This window comes from Homo sapiens, chromosome 1 (genome assembly GCF_000001405.40).
Source record: "Homo sapiens chromosome 1, GRCh38.p14 Primary Assembly".
In the NCBI taxonomy this organism is placed as follows: domain Eukaryota; kingdom Metazoa; phylum Chordata; class Mammalia; order Primates; family Hominidae; genus Homo; species Homo sapiens.
Window position 1 is genome coordinate 216469072 of NC_000001.11, and position 27800 is coordinate 216496871.

Genomic DNA, 27800 nt, shown 5'->3' on the forward strand with positions numbered 1-27800 from the left:
GCTCTTTAATTAAGTACACTTAATGACCTTAAGGGGATTAGTAGTCTTGTCTGATAATCAATAAGCATGGCAAGATTACTGCCTCATAAACTGGGGTGGAAGAACCAAATTAATCTGTAAAGATTAGTCTCCTCTAGTTTTTTTTCTTATAGTTTGATTCCATCTAACACTTAGGAAACTCATAATCCCAGTCAAGAAGAACATACCCGTAATTCATTTGTTCTGAAGGCATGTATTTATTTTAGCAAACATGGTTTTAAAAGTGGTGCCAAAAAGCCAAATGGCAAATGATAGATATTTTCCTGCAAATCATTGAAAAATGCTCAAATAAAATTATCTGCTGCCGCATTGATATGTGATTGGTTAATGGAGTATAACTAGCTGTGCCACTGTGAGGCTCAGTTTCTTCATTTGTAAAATGAAAGAGGAAACTTCTCAGGTCCTTTGCAGCTTCTACATTTTATAATTTAAATAGAAAATAATTTCGATTTCTTTTATGAATTATCCATTTTTTAGCAGCAGTTCAGCCTTGCACAGTCAGACACTGATGGGCTATCTCTCATCTTCTTTTGTCCCCACACATTCAGCAAAATCAAGTGTTGTGGGCCAATAAAGATAGGTGGGATTGAACAATGAGATCACATGGACACAGGAAGGGGAATATCACACTCTGGGGACTGTTGTGGGGTTGGGGGAGCGGGGAGGGATAGCATCGGGAGATATACCTAATGCTAGATGACGAGTTAGTGGGTGCAGCGCACCAGCATGGCACATGTATACATATGTAACTAATCTGCACAATGTGCACATGAACCCTAAAACTTAAAGTATAATAATAAAAAAAAACCTAAAACAAACAAACAAACAAACAAAAAGATATTTGAAATGCATTATCAAGGGAAAACAAAACAAATAAATTCAAAATGTGTGAATCATTTGAGACAGCATGGTGCAATAGGGATAGAAGGAAAGGGAGGATGAGGTAAAATTTGGGGATAATGGCTTTGAAGCCAGAAATACTTTGTTCAATACAAAAGATATCAACACAACTTCTATTAACTAGCGGCATAACCTTAAAGAAATTGCTTTGTTCTTCTCAACTTCAGTATCCTCGTAGAATGAGGATTATCATCAGAATTATAGTACGTAAATGTGCTAAGTAATATCACAATACTTCTCATAACAGATATTTGCCTAGCAGATCGTCAATCGCCTTTTCCCTTCCCATTCTCTGATGTTTCTGGGTGATCAATAGATGTAGACATCACATACAATTTTACACTTACAGTTAATCCTTGAAAAACAAGGGGTTTAGGGGTGCCAACCCCCTACACAATCAAAAATCCATATACAATTTTGACTTTTCCAAAACTTAAACTACTAATCAGCCATACTGATTATAGAAACAGTCTATTAACACATGTTTTGTTTATTATATGCATTATATACTGTATGCTTACAATCAACTAGGCTAGAGAAAGGAAAATGTTATTAAGAAATCATAAGGAAGTGAAAATATATTTACTACTCACTACGTGGAAGTGGATCATTATAAAGGTCTTCATCCTCATTGTTTTCACATAGAGTAGGGCTGAAGAGGAGAAGGAAGAGGCGAGGTTAGTCTTGTTGTCTCAGGGGTGGCAGAGGAGGAAGAAAATCTACTTATAAGTGGACCTGTACAGTTAAAACCCGTGTTGTTCAAGGAACAACTGTATATATAAAATTATATACAGTGTATATGCAATATGCAATATAACTAAATGTGAAATGTAAATTCTACACTTGTGCCTAAGTACCCATCAAAACCTTTGGAAATAGGGCTATATTTTTATCTATGATTTTTCCACTCTAAATGTAATACCTGGCACATATACATGTCAGTTCAGCTAAATATGCACATATACTTCATATTAGTTTATTGGGTATATTCAGTCTTCATCCTTTAATATCTAGGTCTTCCCTGCTGTATTGAGGCTGCCAGGGCAATTGACCTACTTGCTAAAACTATTATGTAGTATCTGCTTTTCCTTTAAAAAAAACTCTGTGTTATTATCAATTGTATACACTTCAGCTTACATATACCATAATTAAGTCCTACTATGACCCAAAGATTGTGTGAAGTGGTTTTATTAATGAATGATGTTAATCACAAATGAAATTGTATACCTATGTAAGACGTGCATTCATCCTAGATATTGGCTTTTTCTTAAGGTATTTTAACTTATCTATTATTATAAATATATACTGATTATTACCCAAGCAATGCTGGTAAGACTTTTTGACTTGGTGGTCAAGAGTGTCAGGAAAACCATCTAGCCCGGATGGGATAACTTTTTAGTATTAGGAATATTAAGATAATGTATAAGAGCTATATTTGCAGGATAATATCAGGAACTTCAAGACTTAAAAAAATAAAAACAAAAACCACTGCATTTCAAGTAACATTGCTGATATTACAAAGACACTTTATTAAGATTTGGCTATTTAACTTCTTAAGGGTTAATGATACCAGCAACCCTTCTATATGGGAAAATGTAAAAAGTTATTGGAAACAAAATATCCGAGCAAGGGAGAGACTCCTCCTTAGATAAGTTGTAAACAATGTTGACATTTTTCATATTCTGAGAATAAGACATCTATACCATTCTGAAATTCTTACATGAGACACCAGGTTTCTAGCATTGCCACTGAACATCCGCTGTCCATATTTTTAGATCTTTTTTTTTCCATTTGTGCAAAAGTAGATAAAAAAAGGTCAGCTTGCCTCCAGCAGGATGTTATAGCCAATAAATGCTTAAATGTTATTGTATTTTTCTCCCAGCAGCTTGTATCTAGGCAAATGTTTCTGAAGCCTGCCTTGGGCTTGCACACAGGTGCCGGATTCCTGCTCACCACACGGTAATGATTTGGGACTTCTGCACACTTTCCCTGTGGGCACTTTCTGCTGCCCTTGTTCTAATCAGTGAAAAGGTACTACGGTACCCATTGCTGATGCTTGTAGACTGAAGGTGTTCCAGGGTGTTGCTCTTGGTGATCTGAACTAGTAGTTGATCTTTAAAATGCTGAAATCTGTGTGCTTAGGAGGTCACTTAGGAGGTCCTGTTCTCAAACCAGAAACTATCACTATCCTTTAGTCATCAATTTACCTGAGAACATCATTAAAAACTGCAAAATACTGTTTGACAGATCCTCATGAACATTCTGACCTCAATAGCAATAACTTGTAGTAGGTCATGACATTTTCTTAATCGATTTCTTCCTGAAGAGCCACTGCCATTAAAACAAACAAACATCAACTATTCACATGTGTGAAATGTTTCCTCAAATTCCCTAGCAGTGGGATAAAATAATAATAATTAATATAAAATTACCCTAATTTCCACTGTGCCAAGTTCTATAAATTCAAGGTGTTCTGAATGTGCTGTTGCTACTCCAAACTTTCAAAGAGTGACTAAGAGAAACAAACAATACTGGGACCAAGGTCCCATTCTGGAGAGAGCTGAAACAATATAATGAAGTATTCTAAAATTATAAGAGAGCGTGATAGGGTATTATTATTATTTTTATGCTATTTAGTCATTGCAGCCAGTGAAAGAATGAACAAGGAGGATAGAAAATCCCTGAGCTAACTCACTTGAAGAGAGACGGACCTGCTAGGCATCCTTTCTCTTTCTCACTCTTACACATTGGTCTGCCTGAAGGCTGAGAAGCCTATAATTTTACCAATATATCCAATAGCCATGATTAAATATCATGGGGAGGAAATGGAAGAGAGTGGGGAAAGCACAGGTTTTGCTGCCACCATCTCCTGCTTCATTTCTGAATGAAGGGCCTTGGGAAAATCCCTTCACCTCTGTAGGCCTCCATTCCGCTCCCATAAATATCCTTCTCAATGGAATTTTGGAAGTCTCAAGCTCATCCATATGTACACCTAGCATGATTTTACTATAGAATAGTGATTTTTAAATAGATACTATATTTTTTCAAAAATTAAAAAGTCATATAATGTAGTGATGCCCATGTCCATTAATCCAGGTTAATTTTTTAGTAGCAAGTCAGGCTCAATGAGATCCAACTAGAAAGCAGAAAAGGTTGCAAGTACAAGACTCATCCTCTAGGACCACCTGGAACAGGACCTTTAAGACATCAAGGGAGAAGAAGCAAACAATGAGGAGGAACAAACAAGGAGAATACCTAAAAACAGACCTTCCAAGGGATCAAATGTAGTTGTTGTATAATTATGCTCTAGCCTAGCCCTGGGCCTGGATGAGGATATTTAATTGGAGAGCAATTAAGTCTTATTAACATCAAATTACAAATTTTTACATTGCAATGGTCAAGTTTTCATTTCTGTTTCTGCCTTGTAAAAAATATTTTCCTTAGCATTTTCTCAAACTGGCATGGTGCTTCTTTTCTCACAAGAGTATCTGTAGCTCCAATGATGGAAGAGTTGACCTGAAACACATCAGTAGAGTGGCCCTGGTCCCTGTGCGTCTGTTGGAAGTATTGATAAGCCGCCCTGGAATCAGGTTGTAGATGCCTTCTGCCATAGATTACAAAATAGGGGCAAGGCTTGTGAAACTCTCTGCAAAGAGCATTCTTCTTACATCTTTATTGCCTACAAAATGCCAGGAGAGTTTCCAAGTAAGAGCAATCACTGTTAAAGAAAATAGGACATAAAATAAACTGTTATTACCTGCAAAACAGCTGTATTTCCTTTTCTTCCCAGAGAAGCACATAAACCCTCTGTATACTCTGACATGAAGCAATGTAATAGAACTTTTATTTCAGTAAACACGAGATATTTGTTCCATGATAAGTAACATCTGAAAGGCAAAAAAGGTTGTGCTCAAATTTTGTCAGCTGTTTCATGATTGCAAAATCAAAAAAGGGATCTTACAAATTGATTGGGCCCATTCTTGGTCTAAGATAGGAGGTTATAAAAGCTAAGAGCAAGGGCTTTGCAATAGGACAGACAGAGGTCTAATCCCAGCTCTGCCTCTTAAGTTTATATGTAACCCAAGGGAAGTTATTGCGTCTTTGCAAGCTTCAGTTTCTGCATTATCAAAGTGGTGGCAATAATAGAACCTACCTCATAGATACTGAGTATTAAATAAAATATGTTATTTAAATAAAAGTGTTAATTATAGCACCTGACCCTTCAGAAGTACATAAATGGTAGTAGCTATTATGCTAAAACTCTCTCTAGCTACTGGTCGTGTCATAATTTTATAGTATATCTAAGGAGACCTAATGAAAATCCAAGGAGATGAGAATATTCTTAATTTTTTAATTATGTAATTTATTTTTCTTTTATTGAAACCTATTGGTTTTCCTGATTGTCTTCTTTGAATACTTGGAATGGATTCTCATCAACTTTCTTATATATACATCCTTTACATATCTGGAATCATGCAATTTTACAACTGGGAGAGACCATGTATATAATGCATGCAACTTCCTTGTTTTATAGATGATGGAACTAAGTATTGAAACAGTGACATGACTTGTACAAAGTCACAGGTATAATTATAAAGAAAAAAAACTCCACATATTCTGGGATGCTACCCAATGCTCATTCCAGATAAAACTCACTGAATTTGAAGGTAAGTCATTTTCTCCAGCCATTGTCTAATGACATGAATTCTTTTAACTGTTTCCTATGTATCATTCTATCCTTTATATAAGACTTGCTTAACACATTCTGTGTTCTCAGGTCACTTTTACAATTTGAAGACTCCAAACGAGGTATATTTACCCTATTTGATGTCTAATTTTCAGACAAGGTTTATTAAGGGATTATTCCCTGATCCTGATCCTTGATTTTCTGTACTATGGTGTCACCTCAAAGGATGTTCACTGAGACCTTTCCTGAACATCCCTGGTAAAGGTTATTCTTCTCTTTTGAGCTCTCATAGCTCCAAATACATGGATGTGTTTGATTCCCTTCCTAGACTCTACATCCATGGAGGGCCAAGCTCACACAGCTACTTACTCACTCATCACCCAACAGGTCTCTGTGGAAGAGTCACCAAACATTCTCTTTTATTTCATTTCATTTTATATTATTTCTTGTCTATAGAAGACCAACTTCCAGAACTAGATCAAGAACACACTGGGCCATTTGTCTCTGACTTCTGGGAAGTAAAGAGAAATGGAGGAGAATTTGAGTTATGATTCTTCCTCCCATTTAACCTCTATCTTGCTCTAACTTGACATAGTAGACTGTCGTGTTGTTTCTCTTATTTTTCACAACTCACTTTTTGCAATGTAAGTGTCTTCACATCCCATGGACACAAATATTCGAGGTTGTTATTTGGTGTAAAGAAAATTCTACTGATGTTCTAATTTTTAGAAAGTAGGTAAAAAGAATTTCCAATATCTGTCAATATTATACTCAGAAATTAAATACTGGTTTCTAGGCAAGGTGTGGTGGGTCACAGCTGTAATCCCAGTATTTTGGGAGACCAAGGCAGTTGTATCAATTGAGCCTAGGAGTTCGAGACCAGCCTTGCCAATATGTGAAACCCCGTCTCCACTAAAAAGACAAAAATTAGCCAGGTGTGGTGGTATATGCCTGTAATCCCAGCTACTCGGGAGGCTGAAGGAAAGGAAGGAAGGAAGGAAGGAAGGAAGGAAGGAAGGAAGGGAGGGAGGGAGGGAGGGAGGGAGGGGGAGGGAGGGGGAGGGAGGGAGGGAGGAAAGGGAAGGAAAGGGAGAGAAAATACTGGTTCCCAAATAAAACTAGCAAAGAGTAACATCATAGCCAGGAATCCACTTCATTACATGCAGCTGTTGAATGAAAGCTTAATATGAAGGAAACAAATGATTTCTTTCTCATTTTTCTAGTTTCTCTTATCTTCACCTTGCTTTATTCAGACATTCATTTGTTCTCATAGGCAACTTGGGATGTTGGATAAATCACAAACTGTGGAGTCATACAGACCCAGATAACAATCTTAGAATCTTAAACCTGCTTTCTGACTGATCTGTCTCTTTTTCTGTTTTCTAACCCCTAAAATGGAGATAACACAGATCCCACAGTGGTCCTGGAAAGATTCACTGAAATTTTATTATTTCCTTTTTCCCCTTTTATTAATTTTCCTTTTTATTGGCCCCATGCTTCCTTCCTGTGATTAAACTTTTGCCCTGCCTCCTTTTGATGAAGGCCAAAAAAGTATAGATTTGATGTGAAAAGATCTATATATCAGCTATGCCTCTTTGAAATCAAAGATATTAAATTTTGAAAACTGCTTCCTACATAACTTTATTAAAGCTAGTCTGATTTAAGCAATTAAATCCCTCTCCAATTCCACTCGGTAGGTTTACAGGATGTATACAGAAGGCTTGATAGTGACAGAACTACTTTCAAGTAAAATATCTCTTCTCTACTTTTTAATCTGAATTCACTTAATGTAACTCTTAAACTGAAGGGAGGGCTGTGGGCAAAAGGATGAGAACAAATTCCCCATCCATAAAAAGCATCTGGCACAAGGAAAACAGTAGCAAGTCCAGATGGTACCAAGCTCTGACACAGGCCAGGGAATGCTCTATGGACAGAAATGCCATATAGATTTTGTATAAGAAAGCACAAAATGCAATCTTGAAAAATTAAAAATAAGAACTTTTGTGGCTGAATAGCCAGAATTTACTCAATATATTCATAATTAGGACTGCTTTATAGGACATTTAATTTATTACTTTATGTTCATGCTTTCCCTTAGAACATATATTAAAGGTGTATGATAATTTTAGCCTGGGCACTTACATTGGCAAAGCATCGCTGTTACTGGGAGTTGAAAGAACCAATCAGAAAGGCAAACACCCATGGCACCCAAGTGGATTCCATGCTATCAAATATGGTACAATTAGGAGATCAGCAATTGACCTCTAATTGTTATCGTTCAGCATGTATTTGGTGGATAGCTTTGCTTAAGATCTTCTGTACCAATTTATTCCTCTTCTCTTCTACTTTCTCTTCTGGGAAGCTAACAGCTAGTTATCCTTGGTTCATCTATTTCTTATTCAGGGATGCCTTCTTCAATCTACAAAGGCTGAATTAGTGCTCTCATTTCATACTCCTTAGTGGGCAGTACTTCCTCTGTTTAAGGACTTACTACGACTTTAATCTTTCACTCAAAGCCTGGCCTCCTTCTAACCCAGAACCATATAAATTCAGGGAATGTACCCATTTCTTCCCATTCTTCCTCAGGTACCACAGTGCCCAGTACGTGATGAAATTTCCAGCTATGTTTCATCAGTCTGTGTCACAAACAGTGTTCTAGGTACATGTCATATACAGGAATGAGAAAAATTGACAAAAACTCTGCTCATGGAGCTTATGTTCTAGGAGAAAAGTGAGCAAAAAGCAAAATAATTAAGTAAGGTATGTTATATAGAAATGTCAGTGGTGATGACTGCTCCGGAGAAAAATAAGGTAGGAAAAAGGAATAGGAAGACCGGGGACAAAGCTGTCATCCAGGAAATTTCATAGTGTGTATTAGACAAGAGGCAAAGATAAAAACTAATGAGGAAGCATTGAATTTAAGGAGTTTTACAAAAGCAAAATAATCAAAGCAAATAGTGAAGGATAGAGGAAGAATAGAAATTAACCTATCAGCAATCATATAAAAGAGGAGAAATGAACACATCCAGGTTGGTTCTTTGAGAAAAATTTTAAAATGTATAAACTTTGGGGAGACTGATTAATAAATAAAAGGAGGGTATACAAATAACAAACATTAGAAATAAAAACGGGAACATCACTGTCTAGTTTGTTTTACACTCCCAAAGACATGAGGTCCTAGTCCTGGGAATCTGAAAATGTAACTTTAATTGGGAAAAGGATCTTTGCAGATGTGATTAAATTAAGAATTTTGAGTTGGGAAGGTTATATTAGACTAGCCTAGTGCCTAAGTGCTAAGATATCATAAATATCTTTATAAGAAGGAGGCAGAGGGAGATATCACACATGCACAAAGGTGAAGCCATGTGAAGATGGAGCAGAGAGAAATTTGAAGATACTGGCCTTGAAGATTGAATTAATACGGCCACAATGCAAGGGATGCTGGCTGCCACCGTAATTAGGAAAAAACAAGTTGTGGATGATTCTCTAGAGCAGTGGCCCCCAACCTTTTTGGCACCAGGGATTGGTTTTGTGGAAGACAATTTTTCTATGGATGTGTTGGGCAGGGGGGTGGGTGATGGTTTGGGAATGAAACTGTTCCACCTTAGATTCTCATAAGGAGCATGCAATCTAGATCACTGCATGTGCAATTCACAATAGGGTTCATTCTCCTATGATGTGACAGGAGATGGAGCTCAGGCGGTAATGCTCGCTCGCCCACCGCTCACTTCCGTGCGGCCCAGTTCCTAACAGGACATTGACCGCTACTGGCCCATGGCCTAGGGGTAGGGGACCCCTGCTCTAGATCCTCTGGAGAGAACACAGTATTGTCAACAGTTTGATTTTAAACTGGTGAAGGTTATTTCAGACTTCCGGCCTCCATCACTGTAAGAAAATAAACTCCTGTTGTTTTAAGCTACCAAGTTTGTGGTGATTTGTTTCAGCAGCCACAGAAAACTAAAATAACCACTCTACTATAGATCCTGAAGTCACTAAGACATTAACTAGAGAAAACGATGAACAATTTTATGCCAATAAGTTTGAAAACATAGATAAAACAGACAAATTCTTACAAAAATATCAACTAATGAATATGATATAATAATAGATAAAATACCCTGATACCAAAGCCAGACATGAACCTTACAAGAAAATTACAAGCCAATATCCCTGATGAACATACATGTAAGAATTCTCGACAAAATACTGAAAAACAGAATTCAACAACACATTGCAAGGATCATTCACGACCATCGAGTGGGATTTATCCCAGGGATGTGAGGGTAGTTCAATGTACACAAATGTGTAAATGTGATAAACTACATTAACAGAATGAAGGACAAAAACGTATGATCCTCTCAGTAGAGGAACAAATGCATTTGATAAAATTTACCATCCTTTCGTGACTAAAAACTATAAAACAAATTACTTATGGAAGGAATATACTGCAACACAATAAAGGCCACATATGACAAACCCACAGCTAACATCATACCCCATGGTGAAAAGTGGAGTTTTTTTCTCTGAGATCAGGAACATAACAAGAATGTCCACTCTTGACACTTCTGTTCAACATGGTGTTAGAAGTTACAATTCAGCAAGTACAAGAAATAATAGGCATCCAAATTGGAAAGAAGAAGTCAAATTGTTCCTATTTGTAGATGGCATGATCTTACATATAGAAAACCCTAAAGACTCCACTAAAAACTATTAGGACTAATACATGAATTAGTAAAGTTGCAGGATATAAAATAAACATACAAAAATCAGTAGCATTTCTATATACTAACCACTAACTATCCACAAAAGATATCAAACCAGGCATGGTGGCTCATGCTTGTAATCCCAGTTCTTTGGGAAGCTGAGTTGGGCTGATCACTTGAGCCCAGGATTTTGAGACCAGCCTGGGCAACATAGCAAGACCCCATCTCTACAAAAAATATAAAAATTAGTGGGGCAAGGTGGCACGTGCCTCTAATCCAGCTACACAGGAGGCCGACGTGGGAGGATCAATTGAGCCCAGAAGGCCGAGGCTGCAGTGAGCTGTGATCATGCCACTGTACTTCAGCTTGTGTGACAGAGTGAGAACCTGTCTCAAAAAAAAAAAAAAAAAAAAAAAAACCAGGAAAACAATTCCATGGAAAAACATACTTCAAATACATTTAACCAAGGAGGTGAAAGACCTACACACTGAAAACCATAACACTTTGATGAAATAAACTGAAGAAGATGGAAAGATATATTTGTTCTTGGATTGGAAGAATTAATATGTTTTAAATGTTCATACTACCCCAAATAATCTACACAGTCAGTGTAATCCCTATCAAAATACCAATGATATTTTTCAAAAAAAAAATCCTAAAATTTGTATGGAACCACAAAAGACCCTGAATAGCCAAAGCAATCTTGAGCAAAAATAGCTAAGTCAAAGGCATCACACTACCTGACCGTAAAATATACTAAATAACTAAGGTAATCAAAAACAGCATGGTACTGGCAAAAAAAAAAAAAACAGCATGGTACTGGCACATAGACCAATGGAAAGGAATAAAGAACCCAGAAACAAATACATGTAAATAAGGTCAATTGATTTTTGACAAAGACACCAAGAATACACAATTGGCAAAGGAGAGTCTCTTCAATAAATTGTGTTGAGTTCAGTAGATATCCACATGCAGAGGAATGAAGTTAAACCCTTACCTTACACCATATACAAAGATCAACTCAAAATGGATTAAAGTCTTTAAACTAAGACCTGAAGCTGTAAAACTACAAGAAGAAAACCTAGGTGAAAAACTCCATGAGGTTCATATCGGCAGTGATTTTTTTGGATATCAACCCAAAAGCAGAGAGAACAAAAGCAAAAATAGACTAACGGGATTACATGAAACTAAAAAGCTTCTGCACAGCCAATGAAACAATCAACAGAGTGAAGAGATCTATAGGAAGAGAGAAAATATTTGCAAACTGTATATCTCATTAGCGGTTAGTATCTAAAATATATAAGGAACCCAAAAAACTCAATAGGAAGAAAACAAATAACTCAATTTAAAAATGGGCAAAGGAATGACTCTTTCTCTTGAGTACACACACACACACACACATTCCCCTTTCTTGAGCGTGTACTTTTCACTTTGTAATAAATCTCCATACTTTCACTATTTTCTGACTCATTCTTGAATTCTTTCTTCAGAAGTTATCAAAAGCCTGGATACTGGCTGGGGTCAAGGTCCCACCCACATTTGGGGACCACCCCCCACAAATCCACCAGCATTATCTTCATGGTGAACCAGCCAGGAGCATCATCACTCCCATTTTAGTACCATCAGCATTTGGTCATGCCAAGGACAAGTCAAGGGTATGGGTAACTGTAATTTAGAAAATGGGGTGCAATGGCCAGATAACAGGACCCTTAATTTTTAATACCATCTTGCAATTAGATCTTTTTAAAAACGTTGGGAGAAATGGACTGAAATATCATATGTACAGACCTTCATGACTCATCATCAGAGCTTTGACTGTCACGGAAATTGCCACCTTTGTTATGCTCATACCGCCTTTAGGGGAACTAAATGGGGAACTAGATATCCTAGATGATCCCCTTTGAAAAATGTACCTCCCGAGAGCCTTCTCACACTTTCTAATCCAGACCCAGTTCCTGCACCCCCAGCTCCTCCTTCTTACCGAACTCCACCTTTGAGTCCCCAGTCTTCTGCTAGTTCCACCGTCTTCAGCCCCCAGACTCCTGCTATTCCACCTCCTTACCAACCCATATGCCCTTCCCTACCAAAGGAACAGAGCCCTGCCAGGGTCACCAGCATTGGCATTTTCTACCTTCCTGATTATTCTAAGTTACGCCCATTTAGGGAGGTGGCCAATGGGAATGCTGGCCATCTAGGTATATGTGCCTTTTTCAATGTCTGATCTAGCACAATGCAGACAGAGGCTGGGCCGGTTTTCAGATAACCCAACTAAATTCATGGAGGAATTTTGGGCCCTCACTCTCATTTGAGTTAACTTGGGGAGATATTCATATTATCTTGTCCATGTCTTGTACCCATGAAGCAAAGCAGCGTATTTGGGTAGAGGCCCCGGCTTATGCTGGCAGCTTGTCAGCAGGGGTTTCTGAAAAAATACACTGCAGGGGCCACGTCTGTGCCTAACAATGACCCAATCTGGAGCTACCAATAGTGCTAGGCTTATCTAAGAATCAGGAACCGTATGGTGGCTTGTTTAGGGACGGGAATGGAAAAATGTACCACTAAGCCTGTAAACTGTGATAAAATAAGAGAAATAAGGAAAGGATGAAAACCCAGCTTTGTTCCAGGGATGTCTTGTAGTGACCCTAGGAAAATATACTAACATCGACCTCAGTATTGGTACTGGCCAAATTTTACTAGGGAAACACTTTAGTAGCCAGTCAGCACCCAACATTAGGAGAAAATGACAGAAATTGGCTTTGGGACCCCAAACGCCTATTCATCAAATGTTTGATGTGGCTTTTGGGATATTCAATAATAGGGACAGGGTTGAAGAGCCTGAAAGATTGACCCAGTGTATCAAACAACGGGCTAGACAGCCAGCCCAAATGATAGCAGTTGCTGTAAGCAGTGCCCTGCAACCTCAGGGCCACCCAGGAGGATGCTTCCAGCAAACCTGCAGTTGCTACTTCAAGTGCGGGAAGCCAGGACATTGAAGCAAGAACTGTCCCAGCCAGGGGAGCCCACCTGGACCCTGTCCTCACTGCAAGCCAGGAGGGCTATTGGAAAAGGGATTGCTCTCAGCTCCAAAGGGAGAGGAGGACACCTGATGCTATAATGGCCAAAACTGAGGACTGAAGGGGCCTGAGGTTCCTGTTAGCTCCCATAAAAGGCATGGTCATCACAACTGAGGAGCCTCGGGTCACTCTTGACCTGGTAGGTAAGAATATTAATTTCTTAATTGACCTAGGGGCTGGTTACTCTGTCTTAAACAGCCACTCTGGGCCTTTATCCCTCCAAAAGCTGCACCGTCACAGGTGTCAATGGCACCCCCAGGAATGCTTTACTTTACCCCTGAGCTGCAGGTTAGAAAACTATGTGGTCATTCACGAGTTTCTAGTTATGCCAGTGTCTTCCTCTTTTATTGGGATGGAACTTCCTAGCCACCCTCTGAGTCATTTTACATTTATCAGGCCTTTGGGAGCCCTCCCTTATTAGCAATGCTTCTTTTTTCTAAGTCAACCTCAGAAAAACAGGAAATCTCCCTCAAAATAACGTCTCAGGTAGACCCTCAAGTGTGAGACCAGGAAACCTCTGACAAAGCAATACACTCACAGCCAGTGATTGCCTCTTTAAAAGACAAAAATAATTTCCCACACAAGCATCAATATCCTCTCAAACCAGAAGTCAAGCATGGTCTACACTCTCTAATTGAGAAGTTTTTAAAACATAGCCTCCTGGTTCCATGTCACTCTCCTTGTAATACTCCTGTCCTCCCTATCCAAAATCCAAATGGGGAATATTGTCTAGTTCAAGACTTATGAGCCATTAATGAGGCATTAATTCCCTTACATCCTATAGTGCCAAATACTTACGCCATACTTGCCCAAATACTGGGAGACAACAGTTGGTTCATGATACTAGATCTCAAGGATGCTTTCATTTTGTATCCCTTTGCACCCTGACCCTTAATATTTGTTTGCTTTTAAGCAGACTAATCCTGGAACTATATTACCCAGCAGTATACCTGGACAGTACTGCCACTGGGCTTTAGGGATAGCCCTCACTTGTTCAGAAATGCCTTGGCACAAGAAATAAGGTAGATATAGCTAGAAAGGGGGGCCATACTGCAATACGTGAATGACATCCCTATAATGCAGTCTCATTAAAGAGGACTCAGATAAGAATGCCACTCAAGTCCTAAACTTCCTGGGAAAAAGAGGGTATCAAGTCTCTCCATCCAAGGTCTAGATGTCTAAACTGTAACTAAAATATCTGGGGTACCTTCTAAGTCCAGGTAATCATACCTTGTCCATTGAACAACAACAGAAAAGGCTACCTCCACAAATGAAGAAGAAACTCAGAACTTTTCTGGTTAGGGCAGGATTTTGCAGGATTTGGATCCTAGGATTTGGGCTCATTGCTAATCCATTGTATGAGATCCTAACATGGTCAGAGCATGAACCACTGAAATGGTCAGGGAAAGAACAGGAGACTTTAGCTTCTAGCTGAACAAAGAGAGGTTTATGCAATAATAAACCACACCAGTTGTTCTTATATTAATAATTAATGATTGGTTAAACTTCAAGTTCAAAAGATTTAACAGCAGGCTACCTGGCTACATAATTTCAATAACCCCACCACTCAAACCATCTGGGATTCCATCAAATAATGGCTACCAAATGTGACATGGTTCCTACCTTTCCTGTGACCTTTAACAGCTATATTATTACTATTAACCTTTGGTCCTTGCTTGTTTAACCTCCTTGTAAAGTTTGTGTCTTCTAGGTTGCAACAGTTTCATGTCAAAATATTGGTCATGCAAGCGTGCCAACCAATATCTGCCTCAGATTCACTCTCCTAATGACCCACCCATGGGACTTTTAAACTAGGCAACCAGAAAATTCCATGTCCTCACTAGGAGGACCAACAGCCCTAATCAACAGGAAGAAGATACAGAAGACTGACCTCCTCCCTCTTCAACCATTAAGAATAAGGAATGGAAATCTCTGAGGGAGGAAAATGAGATAGGAATAATACAGGGTGGTTGCAGGAGAATAGAAAATGCCAGGTAGCAGTTGCACATGACTAGCAAAAGGAAACTTAAAGCAGTTGCATAAGCAAGGGGCCGATAAGACCCTGAAAACCGGGGTGTGGACCAAGCTGGCTAAGACAGACTGAACCCAACATGGTGATGGATTTGACCTAGGTTTCACCTATAACCTCATTATGTGCTTATTAGCGTACTAAATTACAGACCCACCAGTGCCATATCAGTTCTGGGAGCATCCATATTTGGTGTAAAAACAGATGGCACCACAGTTCTGAGAAATCTCCACTTTCTCCAGGAATCTTCATGGATATTCCACTCCTTGGTTAAACAAACCCATAACGATAGAAACCCCAAATCCCCTTACTCCCCTTTCTGGAGTGTGTACTTTTCACTTTGTGATAATTCTCTGTATTTTCACTAAAAAAAGGCAAAGGATCTGAATAGACATTTTTCAAAAGAAGATATACAAATATGTGAAAAAATGCTCAAAATCACTAATTGTCAGAGATGCAAATTAAAACCACAATATGTCAATTCACACCAGTTAAAAATGGCTACTATTCGAAAAGACAAAAGATAACAAATGTTGGAGAGGATGTAGAGACAAAGGAACCTTTGCACAATGTTGGTGGGAATATAAATTAGTACAAACATTATGGGAGTTACTAAAAAGATTAAATATAGAACTTCCATATGATCCAGCAATGCCACTACCAGGTATATATACAAAAGAAATGATATCAGTATGTCAAAGAGATATCTGCACCTGCATGATTATTGCATCATTATTCACAATATCCAAGATATAGAATCAACCAAAGTGTTCATCAATGGACGAATGGATAAAGAAAACTTAGTATATCTACACAGTAGAATATTATTCAGCCTTAAAAAATGAAGCACATCCTGTCATTTTGGACAACATACTTGAAGCTGAAGGACATTATGTTAAGTAAAATAAGCCAGGCACAAAAAGACAAATACCACATGATCTCACCTACATGTAGCATCTTCAAAAGTTGAACTTGGAATTAGAGAGTAGAATAGTGGTTACCTGGGCTGGAAGGGAAATGTGGAAGGAGGTTGGTCACAGGCTACAAAATTTCAGTTAGGCTGAAGAAATAAGTTCAAGAGATCTATTGTGCAACATGGTGACCATAGCTAATTACAACGTGTTGTATTCTTGAAAACTGCTGGAGCCAAGATGGCCAAATAGGAACAGCTCTGGTCTACAGCTCTCAGCATGAGCGACGCAGAAGACGGGTGATTTCTGTATTTCCATCTGAGGTACCGGGTTCATCTCACTAGGGAGTGCCAGACAGTGGGTGCAGGTCAGTGGGTGCACGCACCGTGCGCGAGCCGAAGCAGGGCGAGGCATTGCCTCACTTGGGAAGCACAAGGGGTCAGGGAGTTCCCTTTCCTAATCAAAGAAAGGGGTGACGGACGGCACCTGGAAAATCGGGTCACTCCCACCCGAATACTGTGCTTTTCCCATGGACTTAAAACATGGCGCACCACGAGATTATATCCTGCACCTGGCTCGGAGGGTCCTACGCTCACGGAGTCTCGCTGATTGCTAGCACAGCAGTCTGAGATCAAACTGCAAAGCGGCAGCGAGGCTGGGGGAGGGGCGCCCGCCATTGCCCAGGCTTGATTAGGTAAACAAAGCAGCCGGGAAGCTCGAACTGGGTGGAGCCCACCACAGCTCAAGAAGGCCTGCCTGCCTCTGTAGGCTCCACCTCTGGGGGCAGGGCACAGACAAACAAAAAGACAGCAGTAACCTCTGCAGACTTAAATGTCCCTGTCTGACAGCTTTGAAGAGAGCAGTGGTTCTCCCAGCAGGCAGCTGGAGATCTGAGAACGGGCAGACTGCCTCCTCAAGTGGGTCCCTGACCCCTGACCCCTGAGCAGCCTAACTGGGAGGCACCCCCCAGCAGGGGCACACTGACACCTCACACGGCAGGGTATTCCAACAGACCTGCAGCTGAGGGTCCTCTCAGTTAGAAGGAAAACTAACAAACAGAAAGGACTTCCACACCAAAAACCCATCTGTACATCACCACCATCAAAGACCAAAAGTAGATAAAACCACAAAGATGGGGAAAAAACAGAACAGAAAAACTGGAAACTCTAAAAAGCAGAGTGCCTCTCCTCCTCCAAAGGAACGCAGTTCCTCACCAGCAATGGAACAAAGCTGGATGGAGAATGACTTTGACGAGCTGAGAGAAGAAGGCTTCAGACGATCAAATTACTCTGAGCTACAGGAGGACATTCAAACCAAAGGCAAAGAAGTTGAAAACTTTGAAAAAAATTTAGAAGAATGTATAACTAGAATAACCAATACAGAGAAGTGCTTAAAGGAGCTGATGGAGCTGAAAACCAAGGCTCGAGAACTATGTGAAGAATGCAGAAGCCTCAGGAGCCGATGCGATCAACTGGAAGAAAGGGTATCAGCAATGGAAGATGAAATGAATGAAATGAAGCGAGAAGGGAAGTTTAGAAAAAAAAGAATAAAAAGAAATGAGCAAAGCCTCCAAGAAATATGGGACTATGTGAAAAGACCAAATCTACGTCTGATTGGTGTACCTGAAAGTGATGGGGAGAACGGAACCAAGTTGGAAAACACTCTGCAGGATATTATCCAGGAGAACTTCCCCAATCTAGCAAGGCAGGACAACGTTCAGATTCAGGAAATACAGAGAACGCCACAAAGATACTCCTCGAGAAGAGCAACTCCAAGACACATAATTATCAGATTCACCAAAGCTGAAATGAAGGAAAAAATGTTAAAGGCAGCCAGAAAGAAAGGTCGGGTTACCCTCAAAGGGAAGCCCATCAGACTAACAGCGGATCTCTCGGCAGAAATCCTACAAGCCAGAAGAGAGTGGGGGCCAATATTCAACATTCTTAAAGAAAAGAATTTTCAACCCAGAATTTCATATCCAGCCAAACTAAGCTTCATAAGTGAAGGAGAAATAAAATACTTTACAGACAAGGAAATGCTGAGAGATTTTGTCACCACCAGGCCTGCCTTACAAGAGCTCCTGAAGGAAGCACTAAACGTGCAAAGGAACAACCGGTACCAGCCGCTGCAAAATCATGCCAAAATGTAAAGACCATCGAGACTAGGAAGAAACTGCATCAACTAATAAGCAAAATAACCAATGGACTAAATGCTCCAATTAAAAGACACAGACTGGCAAATTGGATAAAGAGCCAAGACCCATCAGTGTGCTGTATTCAGGAAACCCATCTCACGTGCAGAGACACACATAGGCTTAAAATGAAAGGATGGAGGAATATCTACCAAGCCAATGGAAAACAAAAAAAAGGCAGGGGTTGCAATCCTAGTCTCTGATAAAACAGACTTTAAACCAACAAAGATCAAAAGAGACAAAGAAGGCCATTACATAATGGTAAAGGGATCAATTCAACAAGAAGAGCTAACTATCCTAAATATATATGCACCCAATACAGGAGCACCAAGATTTATAAAGCAAGTCCTGAGTGACCTACAAAGAGACTTAGACTCCCACACATTAATAATGGGAGACTTTAACACCCCACTGTCAACATTAGACAGATCAACGAGACAGAAAGTCAACAAGGATAACCGGGAATTGAACTCAGCTCTGCACCAAGCGGACCTAATAGACATCTACAGAACTCTCCACCCCAAATCAACAGAATATACATTTTTTTCAGCACCACACCACACCTATTCCAAAATTGACCACATATTGGGAAGTAAAGCTCTCCTCAGCAAATGTAAAAGAACAGAAATTATAACAAACTATCTCTTAGACCACAGTACAATCAAACTAGAACTCAGGATTAAGAATCTCACTCAAAACTGCTCAACTACATGGAAACTGAACAACCTGCTCCTGAATGACTACTGGGTACATAACGAAATGAAGGCAGAAATAAAGATGTTCTTTGAAACCAATGAGAACAAAGACACAACATACCAGAATCTCTGGGACGCATTCAAAGCAGTGTGTAGAGGGAAATTTATAGCACTAAATGCCCACAAGAGAAAGCAGGAAAGATCCAAAATTGACACCCTAACATCACAATTAAAAGAACTAGAAAAGCAAGAGCAAACACGTTCAAAAGCTAGCAGAAGGCAAGAAATAACTAAAATCAGAGCAGAACTGAAGGAAATAGAGACACAAAAAACCCTTCAAAAAATTAATGAATCCAGGAGCTGGTTTTTTGAAAGGATCAACAAAATTGATAGACCACTAGCAAGACTAATAAAGAAAAAAAGAGAGAAGAATCAAATAGACACATTAAAAAATGATAAAGGGGATATCGCCATCGATCCCACAGAAATACAAACTACCATCAAAGAATACTACAAACACCTCTACGCAAATAAACTAGAAAATCTAGAAGAAATGGATAAATTCCTGGACACATACACTCTCCCAAGACTAAACCAGGAAGAAGTTGAATCTCTGAATAGACCAATAGCAGGAGCTGAAATTATGGCAATAATCAATATCTTACCAACCAAAAAGAGTCCAGGACCAGATGGCTTCACAGCCGAATTCTACCAGAGGTACAAGGAGGAACTGGTACCATTCCTTCTGAAACTATTCCAATCAATAGAAAAAGAGGGAATCCTCCCTAACTCATTTTATGAGGCCAGCATCATTCTGATACCAAAGCCAGGCAGAGACACAACAAAAAAAGAGAATTTTAGACCAATATCCTTGATGAACATTGATGCAAAAATCCTCAATAAAATACTGGCAAAACGAATCCAGCAGCACATCAAAAAGCTTATCCACCATGATCAAGTGGGCTTCATCCCTGGGATGCAAGGCTGGTTCAATATACACAAATCAATAAATGTAATCCAGCATATAAACAGAGCCAAAGACAAAAACCACATGATTATCTCAACAGATGCAGAAAAAGCCTTTGACAAAATTCAACAACGCTTCATGCTATAAACTCTCAATAAATTAGGTATTCATGGGATGTATTTCAAAATAATAAGAGCTATCTATGACAAACCCACAGCCAATATCATACTGAATGGGCAAAAACTGGAAGCATTCCCTTTGAAAACTGGCATAAGACAGGGATGCCCTCTCTCACCACTCCTATTCAACATAGTGTTGGAAGTTCTGGCCAGGGCAATTAGGCAGGAGAAGGAAATAAAGAGTATTCAATTAGGAAAAGAGGAAGTCAAATTGTCCCTGTTTGCAGACGACATGATTGTATATCTAGAAAACCCCATTGTCTCAGCCCAAAATCTCCTTAAGCTGATAAGCAACTTCAGCAAAGTCTCAGGATACAAAATCAATGTACAAAAATCACAAGCATTCTTATACACCAACAACAGACAAACAGAGAGCCAAATCATGAGTGAACTCCCATTCACAATTGCTTCAAAGAGAATAAAATACCTAGGAATCCAACTTACAAGGGATGAGAAGGACCTCCTCAAGGGGAACTACAAACCACTGCTCAAGGAAATAAAAGAGGATACAAACAAATGGAAGAACATTCCAAGCTCATGGGTAGGAAGAATCAATATCGTGAAAATGGCCATACTGCCCAAGGTAATTTACAGATTCAATGCCATCCCCATCAAGCTACCAATGACTTTCTTCACAGAATTGAAAAAAACTACTTTAAAGTTCATATGGAACCAAAAAAGAGCCTGCATCGCCAAGTCACTCCTAATCCAAAAGAACAAAGCTGGAGGCATCACACTACCTGACTTCAAACTATACTACAAGGCTACAGTAACCAAAACACCATGGTACTGGTACCAAAACAGAGATATAGATCAATGGAACAGAACAGAGCCCTCAGAAATAACGCCGCATATCTACAACTATCTGATCTTTGACAAACCTGAGAAAAACAAGCAATGGGGAAAGGAGTCCCTATTTAATAAATGGTGCTGGGAAAACTGGCTAGCCATATGTAGAAAGCTGAAACTGGATCCCTTCCTTACACCTTATACAAAAATCAATTCAAGATGGATTAAAGACTTAAACGTTAGACCTAAAACCATAAAAACCCTAGAAGAAAACCTAGGCATTACCATTCAGGACATAGGCATGGGCAAGGACTTCATGTCTAAAACACCAAAAGCAATGGCAACAGAAGACAAAATTGACAAATGGGATCTAATTAAACTAAAGAGCTTCTGCACAGCAAAAGAAACTACCATCAGAGTGAACAGGCAACCTACAAAATGGGAGAAAATTTTCACAACCTACTCATCTGACAAAGGGCTAATATCCAGAATCTACAAGGAAGTCAAACAAATTTACAAGAAAAAAACAAGCAGCCCCATCAAAAAGTGGGAGAAGGAGATGAACAGACACTTCTCAAAAGAAGACATTTATGCAGCCAAAAAACACATGAAAAAATGCTCATCATCACTGGGCATCAGAGAAATGCAAATCAAAACCACAATGAGATACCATCTCACACCAGTTAGAATGGCAATCATTAAAAAGTCAGGAAACAACAGGTGCTGGAGAGGATGTGGAGAAATAGGAACACTTTTACACTGTTGGTGGGACTGTAAACTAGTTCAACCATTGTGGAAGTCAGTGTGGCGATTCCTCAGGGATCTAGAACTGGAAATACCATTTGACCCAGCCATCCCATTACTGGGTATATACCCAAAGGACTATAAATCATGCTGCTATAAAGACACATGCACACGTATGTTTATTGCAGCATTATTCACAATAGCAAAGACTTGGAACCAACCCAAATGTCCAACAATGATAGACTGGATTAAGAAAATGTGGCACATATACACCATGGAATATTATGCAGCCATAAGAAATGATGAGTTCATGTCCTTTGTAGGGACATGGATGAAATTGGAAATCATCATTCTCAGTAAACTATCGCAAGAACAAAAAACCAAACACCACATATTCTCATCATAGCTGGGAATTGAACAATGAGATCACATGGACACAGGAAAGGGAATATCACACTCTGGGGACTGTTGTGGGGTGGGGGGAGGGGGGAGGGATAGCATCGGGAGATATACCTAATGCTAGATGACGAGTTAGTGGGTGCAGCGCACCAGCATGGCACATGTATACATATGTAACTAACCTGCACAATGTGCACATGTACCCTAAAACTTAAAGTATAATAATAAAAAAAAAAAGAAAACTGCTATGAGAATAAACTTTAAGGATTCTCACCACACACACACATAAGTATGTGAGGTAATGCATATTTTAATTGGCTTGTTTTGTTAAAAAAATCAAGAGATGCACAATTTGAATTGTGTTATAATTGTTTCAAAAATATAATATTAAATCAGTATCTTTATCTAGAGAAAATATCAGGCCCACACCACTTCCCTGACAAATTTTACCACATATTTACCAAAGAACACCATCTCCTATGAATTGATTCAAAGAAAAAAGTTAGAGATACTGCTCTCCCAAATTGTTTTGTAATAACTTTACAAATATCAAAGCCTGAAATCATCTTATAAAAAGAGAAAATTGTAGTATTTTCTTATCTATAAACAGAGATAGAAAAAATCTTTTAAAAAATAAAAAGCAAGCCAAATCCGGCAATATATAAAGAGATTAATACACCATGTTAAAATTAGATTTTTTTTTAAGAATGCAAAATCAATTCTACTTTAAAATAACAATCAAAGTAAGTTGTCACATTACCAGATAAAAGAAGAAAAATAAGAGAATAGCTCAATAGATGCAAGAAAACTATTTTTAATAAAATTCGAAGTCTGGCTGGGTGCAGTCACTCACGCCTATAATCCCAGCACATTGGAAGGCTGAGGCAGGCGGATCACCTGAGGTCAGGAGTTCAAGACCAGCCTGGCCAACATGGTGAAACCCTGTCTCTACTAAAAATACAAAAATTAGCTGCGCGTGGTAGTGGCACCTGTAATCTCTGCTTCTCAGGAGGCTGAGGCAAGAGAATCACTTGAACCTTGGGAGGAGGAGGTTGCAATGAGCCGAGATGGTGCCACTGCACTCCAGCCTGGGCTACAAGAGTGAAACTCTGTCTCAACAACAACAACAAAAAATTCAAAGTCCATGCCAATACAAAAATTCTTAGAAATCAGTGGAAAATAAGAGAAAATCCTTAGTCTATTAAATGATGTGTATAAAGAACTTTATATCAAATGTAATGGTAAAAACTAAAAGCATTTTCTTTTGGGTAAATAAGGCAAAGTTACCTCTTGTCACCACTTTTTTTTTTTTTTTTTTTTTGAGATGGAGTCTCACTCTGTCATCAGGCTGGAGTGAAATGGCGCAATCTCGGCTCACTGCAACCTCCCCCTCATGGGTTCGAACGATTCTCCTGCCTCAGCCTCCCAAGTAGCTGGGACTACAGGCACATGCCACCACACCCAGCTAATTTTGGTAGTTTTAGTAGAGACGGGGTTTCACTATGTTGGCCAGGATGGTCTCGATCTCTTGACCTCATTATCCACCTGTCTCGGCCTCCCAAAGTGCTTGGATTACAGGAGTGAGCCACCATGCCCAGCCTTGTCACCACTTCTTTTCAACATGAGCTAGTGGTCTTTACCAGTGCAATAATACAAAAATAAGAACCAAAAGTTAAAGAGTTGAGAGGGAAGAAATAAAGCAATAATTATGTGTGAATAATATGTTTGTGTGTGTAAAAAATTTCCAAAGAACCCACAGATAAATTATTAGAATTAATAGGCAAGTTTATCCAAGTTGGTGGATGCAAAAATCAACATATAAAATCAATTTTAATTCTATATATCAGCAAAAAGCAGAACATGAAAAATTTAAAATTAGCTAAAGATAGTTTCCCTTTATAATAGCAGCAAATTACTTATATTTATGGTATGTTGTAAAAACTCAAAATAATTTTAAGATGCTATTTTATAAAAGCATCAAAAATTTCAAGAAGACCTAAATAAAGTGTGGGAGATAACATGCTCATTAATAGGAAGTCTCAATGTAACACAGATGTAAATCTACACATTGATCTATAGAATCAATGCTATCTTAATTAAAATATTAACAGGTGTGTGTCTGTGTGTGTGTGTGTGTAATTGATAAGATGATTCTATATTTTCTATAGAAATGCTAAAGCCAAGATACTTAGGGGAAAGACAACAGTAAAGTGCAACTGCTCTGTCAGATATCAAGCCTTATAAGTATTTTAGGAAGTAGTTAAGAATGTGTAGCATTGATACAAAGATTGTTGAACGAATAGAACAGAAAAGGAGAGCCAGAAAAAGACCCATATATTGCAAAGGCAACACTTTCAAGCTTCAGAGAAAGGTCAGTCTTTTCAACAAAGGGTGTTTTAGACAACTGGATGTCTGTATAGAAAAACAAAGAGATATAATACTTAACCTCCATTGTATATCACACGCAAGAGTGAATTTCAGCTCATTTGAATTTTTAAAAGAGAAAAGTAAAACAATGAAACCTTTAGAAAATAATGATTTACAGTTTTTTGTTTGTTTGGTTTTTTTGGGGACGGAGTCTCCCTCTGTCGCCAGGCCGGAGTGCAGTGCCGCCATCTGGGCTCACTGCAACCTCTGCCTCCTGGGTTCAAGTGACTCCCCTGCTTCAGCCTTCCGAATAGCTGGGACTATGGGCATGTGCCACCACATCTGGCTAAATTTGTATTTTTAGTAGAGGTGGGGTTTCACCATGTTGGCCAGGAGGGTCTCAATCGTCTGACCTCGTGATCCACCCACCTTGGCCTCCCAAAGTGCTGGGATAACAGGCGGAGCCACTGCCCAGCCTTGACAGTATTTTTAACCTCAAAGAAGGGAAGTATTTCTCAAACAGAATTAAAGCACAAACTACAGAGAAAATGACTGATAACCTGGATCATGTTAAAATTAAGAACTTCATTAAAAGAGACCATTAAGAGAGTAAAAATTCAAGACAGTTACAGAAGTTATTTTCTTATAACTGGATCATACCCAGAATAAATTAAAAACATCTACAAATCAATAAGTACAGACCACCAGAAATTTGAAAGGGCAATTATTTACTTAAACAGAAACTTCATAAAAAAGATATCCAAATGGCTAATACATGTATAAAAGAGTGTTCAATATTATTAGTCCTCAGGAAAATGAAAATGAACACTTTTATGAAATACCACTACACAGTCATCAGAATAATTAAAATTTTAAAATATGCAATAAAGTTCAAACTTTTAAAAAACTCTCCCACACTCTTGTTAGAAAAGTATACTGGTACAACCACTTCAGAAAACAGTTTAGGATTATCTGCTGAAGTTGAAAGCTATATAGACCTTATGACACAGCAATACTACTCTTAGGAATGTATTAACAAATGCATGTACATTTCGGCCATGTGCTATGTGTGAACAAGTAAATTCACAGAAGCATTATTTGTAAGAGCAAAAATTCTATACAAACCAAATTCCATCATTTGGTGAAACAAACAGTAGAATACAGCAATGGAGATAAGCAAATGACTGCACAGCATGTGAATTTCTCAAAGGTAATATTGATTTAAATAAGCCAGTCTCAAAATATTATACACTGTATATTTCAAATTATAGAGGTGTCAAAAGCAGACAAACTTCTACTATGATGTTTTGGATGCGTATTTAGAAGGAAAAATGGGTCACAGTTACCTTTGTTTTGCGGAAGGGGAATAGATATGCTTTTGAAGCTTACAACGTTTCAGTTATTGACTTGGATGATGCTGTCATGAGTGTTAACTTTATGAGAATTCATTAACAAATGTCTATGTTTTATGCACTTTGCTATGTTTAAAAATGTTTTAAAGGGGATATTATGTACTCTTGAAGACAATGATATATTAAAATGTCACGATGACAATGATCACACATGTCATTGATAACACAACCCCCAAATACGCAAAGCATCAACTGACAGAAATAAACCAATAGTTGTAATTAGGGATTGAGACATTTCTCTTAGAAACTAATAGCAACTGGACAAAAAGTAAGCAGTTGGGAAATATTTAAATAACATTAACAATGTGTTAAAAGTAGGTATTTCACCTACCACTCAGAATATTCACGTTTTTTTAAGGTCAAGTGGAACTTTCTCAAAAATTGGGTAGACACTCAACCGCAAAGGAAATGTTTAAAAAATTACATGACTCAATCACATACAGGCTACATTGTCTGAAAATAAACAACATGTAATTTTACATCATTAATAACAAATATTTTAGAATACATCTCTGAGAATATACACATATACACATACCTCAAGTTGCTAAAAAGTCCTCAATTAAAGAGAACATCATAAGAAATATTGTGGAATCCTTAGAACTAAATGCCAGCAAAAGCACTGCATGTCAAATTTCGTGGACTACTGCTAAAGCAGTATCTAAAGGGAAATGTATAGCTTTGAACACATTCATTTAAAAAATGGAAATTGAATAGAAATTATCAAAGCAATTGTGATATATTGAATTATTGTTTCTATTTACTTACTTTCCTGTATATCTGCCATGTAAATGTGCAGTTCATCCCACAAAACTGCTTTGGACTTGGCTACACGACTGACTTTGGCCAATGGCAGGTGGGTAGACAAGAGACAAGCAATGGGCTTGAAATGTATTTATGCCTTGAGACTTGCTTTCTTGTACCTCTGCAATCATCCTGATAAAACTGTCTTCTGAGTAGCTGCCACCTCAGCAGTCTGGACCCCAGAGAGAGATAAGTGGAGAAGACCTCAGCCATCCAGACCTGCAGGGTGAAGCAGAGACACTCAGTCAAGCCCTGTCTAGCCATAACAACCACCTCAAAGAATTAAGTGCTTTATTTTTATAACTCACTGAGATCTTGTGGTTGTTATGCAGCGAAAACTGACTGATAGAAAAATCAGAAGTTGAGCTGCTGCCATAACATAAAATTAAAATATCTGGAAGTAGGTTTGGGACAAAGGCAGCGGGGGGACACATCTATGGAGAGCTGAAAAAGAATGTTATCGAAGGTGGGGGAGGGGGTGGGGAAGGCAATCTATGCTACATTCTAGCAACTCATTTGTAACAGTTTTGGCTGCAGTAACATGGAATAAAAAAATGAATCTAACACATTTATGGACTTAGGAAAGATGGCTTATAGTCAAAATGATAAATGCATGAGTTGATTGCTCTAACTGCCTATAATAAGATAAATGGATTTATAATATGGAGAAAGAGATATACTCAGAAGTAAACTGGTCAGTTTGCAAGCTGAATTAGAGGGAATATAGATTATTTACTTAGAAAATCCAGGAGTATAAACAAATGATTATAAGGAAATTCAACAAAGTTTCTAAGTACAAGATCAACATACAAAATGAAATAGCATTTCTCTGTTCAAAAACACAACAAAACAATACACTAACATATAAAATAACTTGTAATTTGCAAAAGCTACAAATTTATGAAGTATC

At 38.5% G+C, this 27800-nt stretch overlaps 1 long non-coding RNA gene across 1 annotated transcript, besides 1 other annotated feature; it reads right to left on the reverse strand.

The window, feature by feature from the left end:
* Window positions 1-1484: 1484 nt before the first annotated feature.
* Window positions 1485-27106, reverse strand: LOC107985596 (uncharacterized). The gene is made up of 3 exons (XR_001737763.1): window positions 26855-27106; window positions 4697-4826; window positions 1485-1591 (listed from the first exon to the last, which is right to left on the reverse strand). It is a non-coding gene; the product is annotated as an uncharacterized LOC107985596 (long non-coding RNA).
* Window positions 16855-17417: an enhancer, noted in NCBI's record as "OCT4-NANOG-H3K27ac-H3K4me1 hESC enhancer chr1:216659268-216659830 (GRCh37/hg19 assembly coordinates)". NCBI's record gives its function as "activates a minimal SCP1, AML or CMV promoter by ChIP-STARR-seq in primed H9 embryonic stem cells {active_cell/tissue: H9 hESC(primed)}" and the evidence as "EXISTENCE:reporter gene assay evidence [ECO:0000049][PMID:30033119]".
* Window positions 27107-27800: the final 694 nt, after the last annotated feature.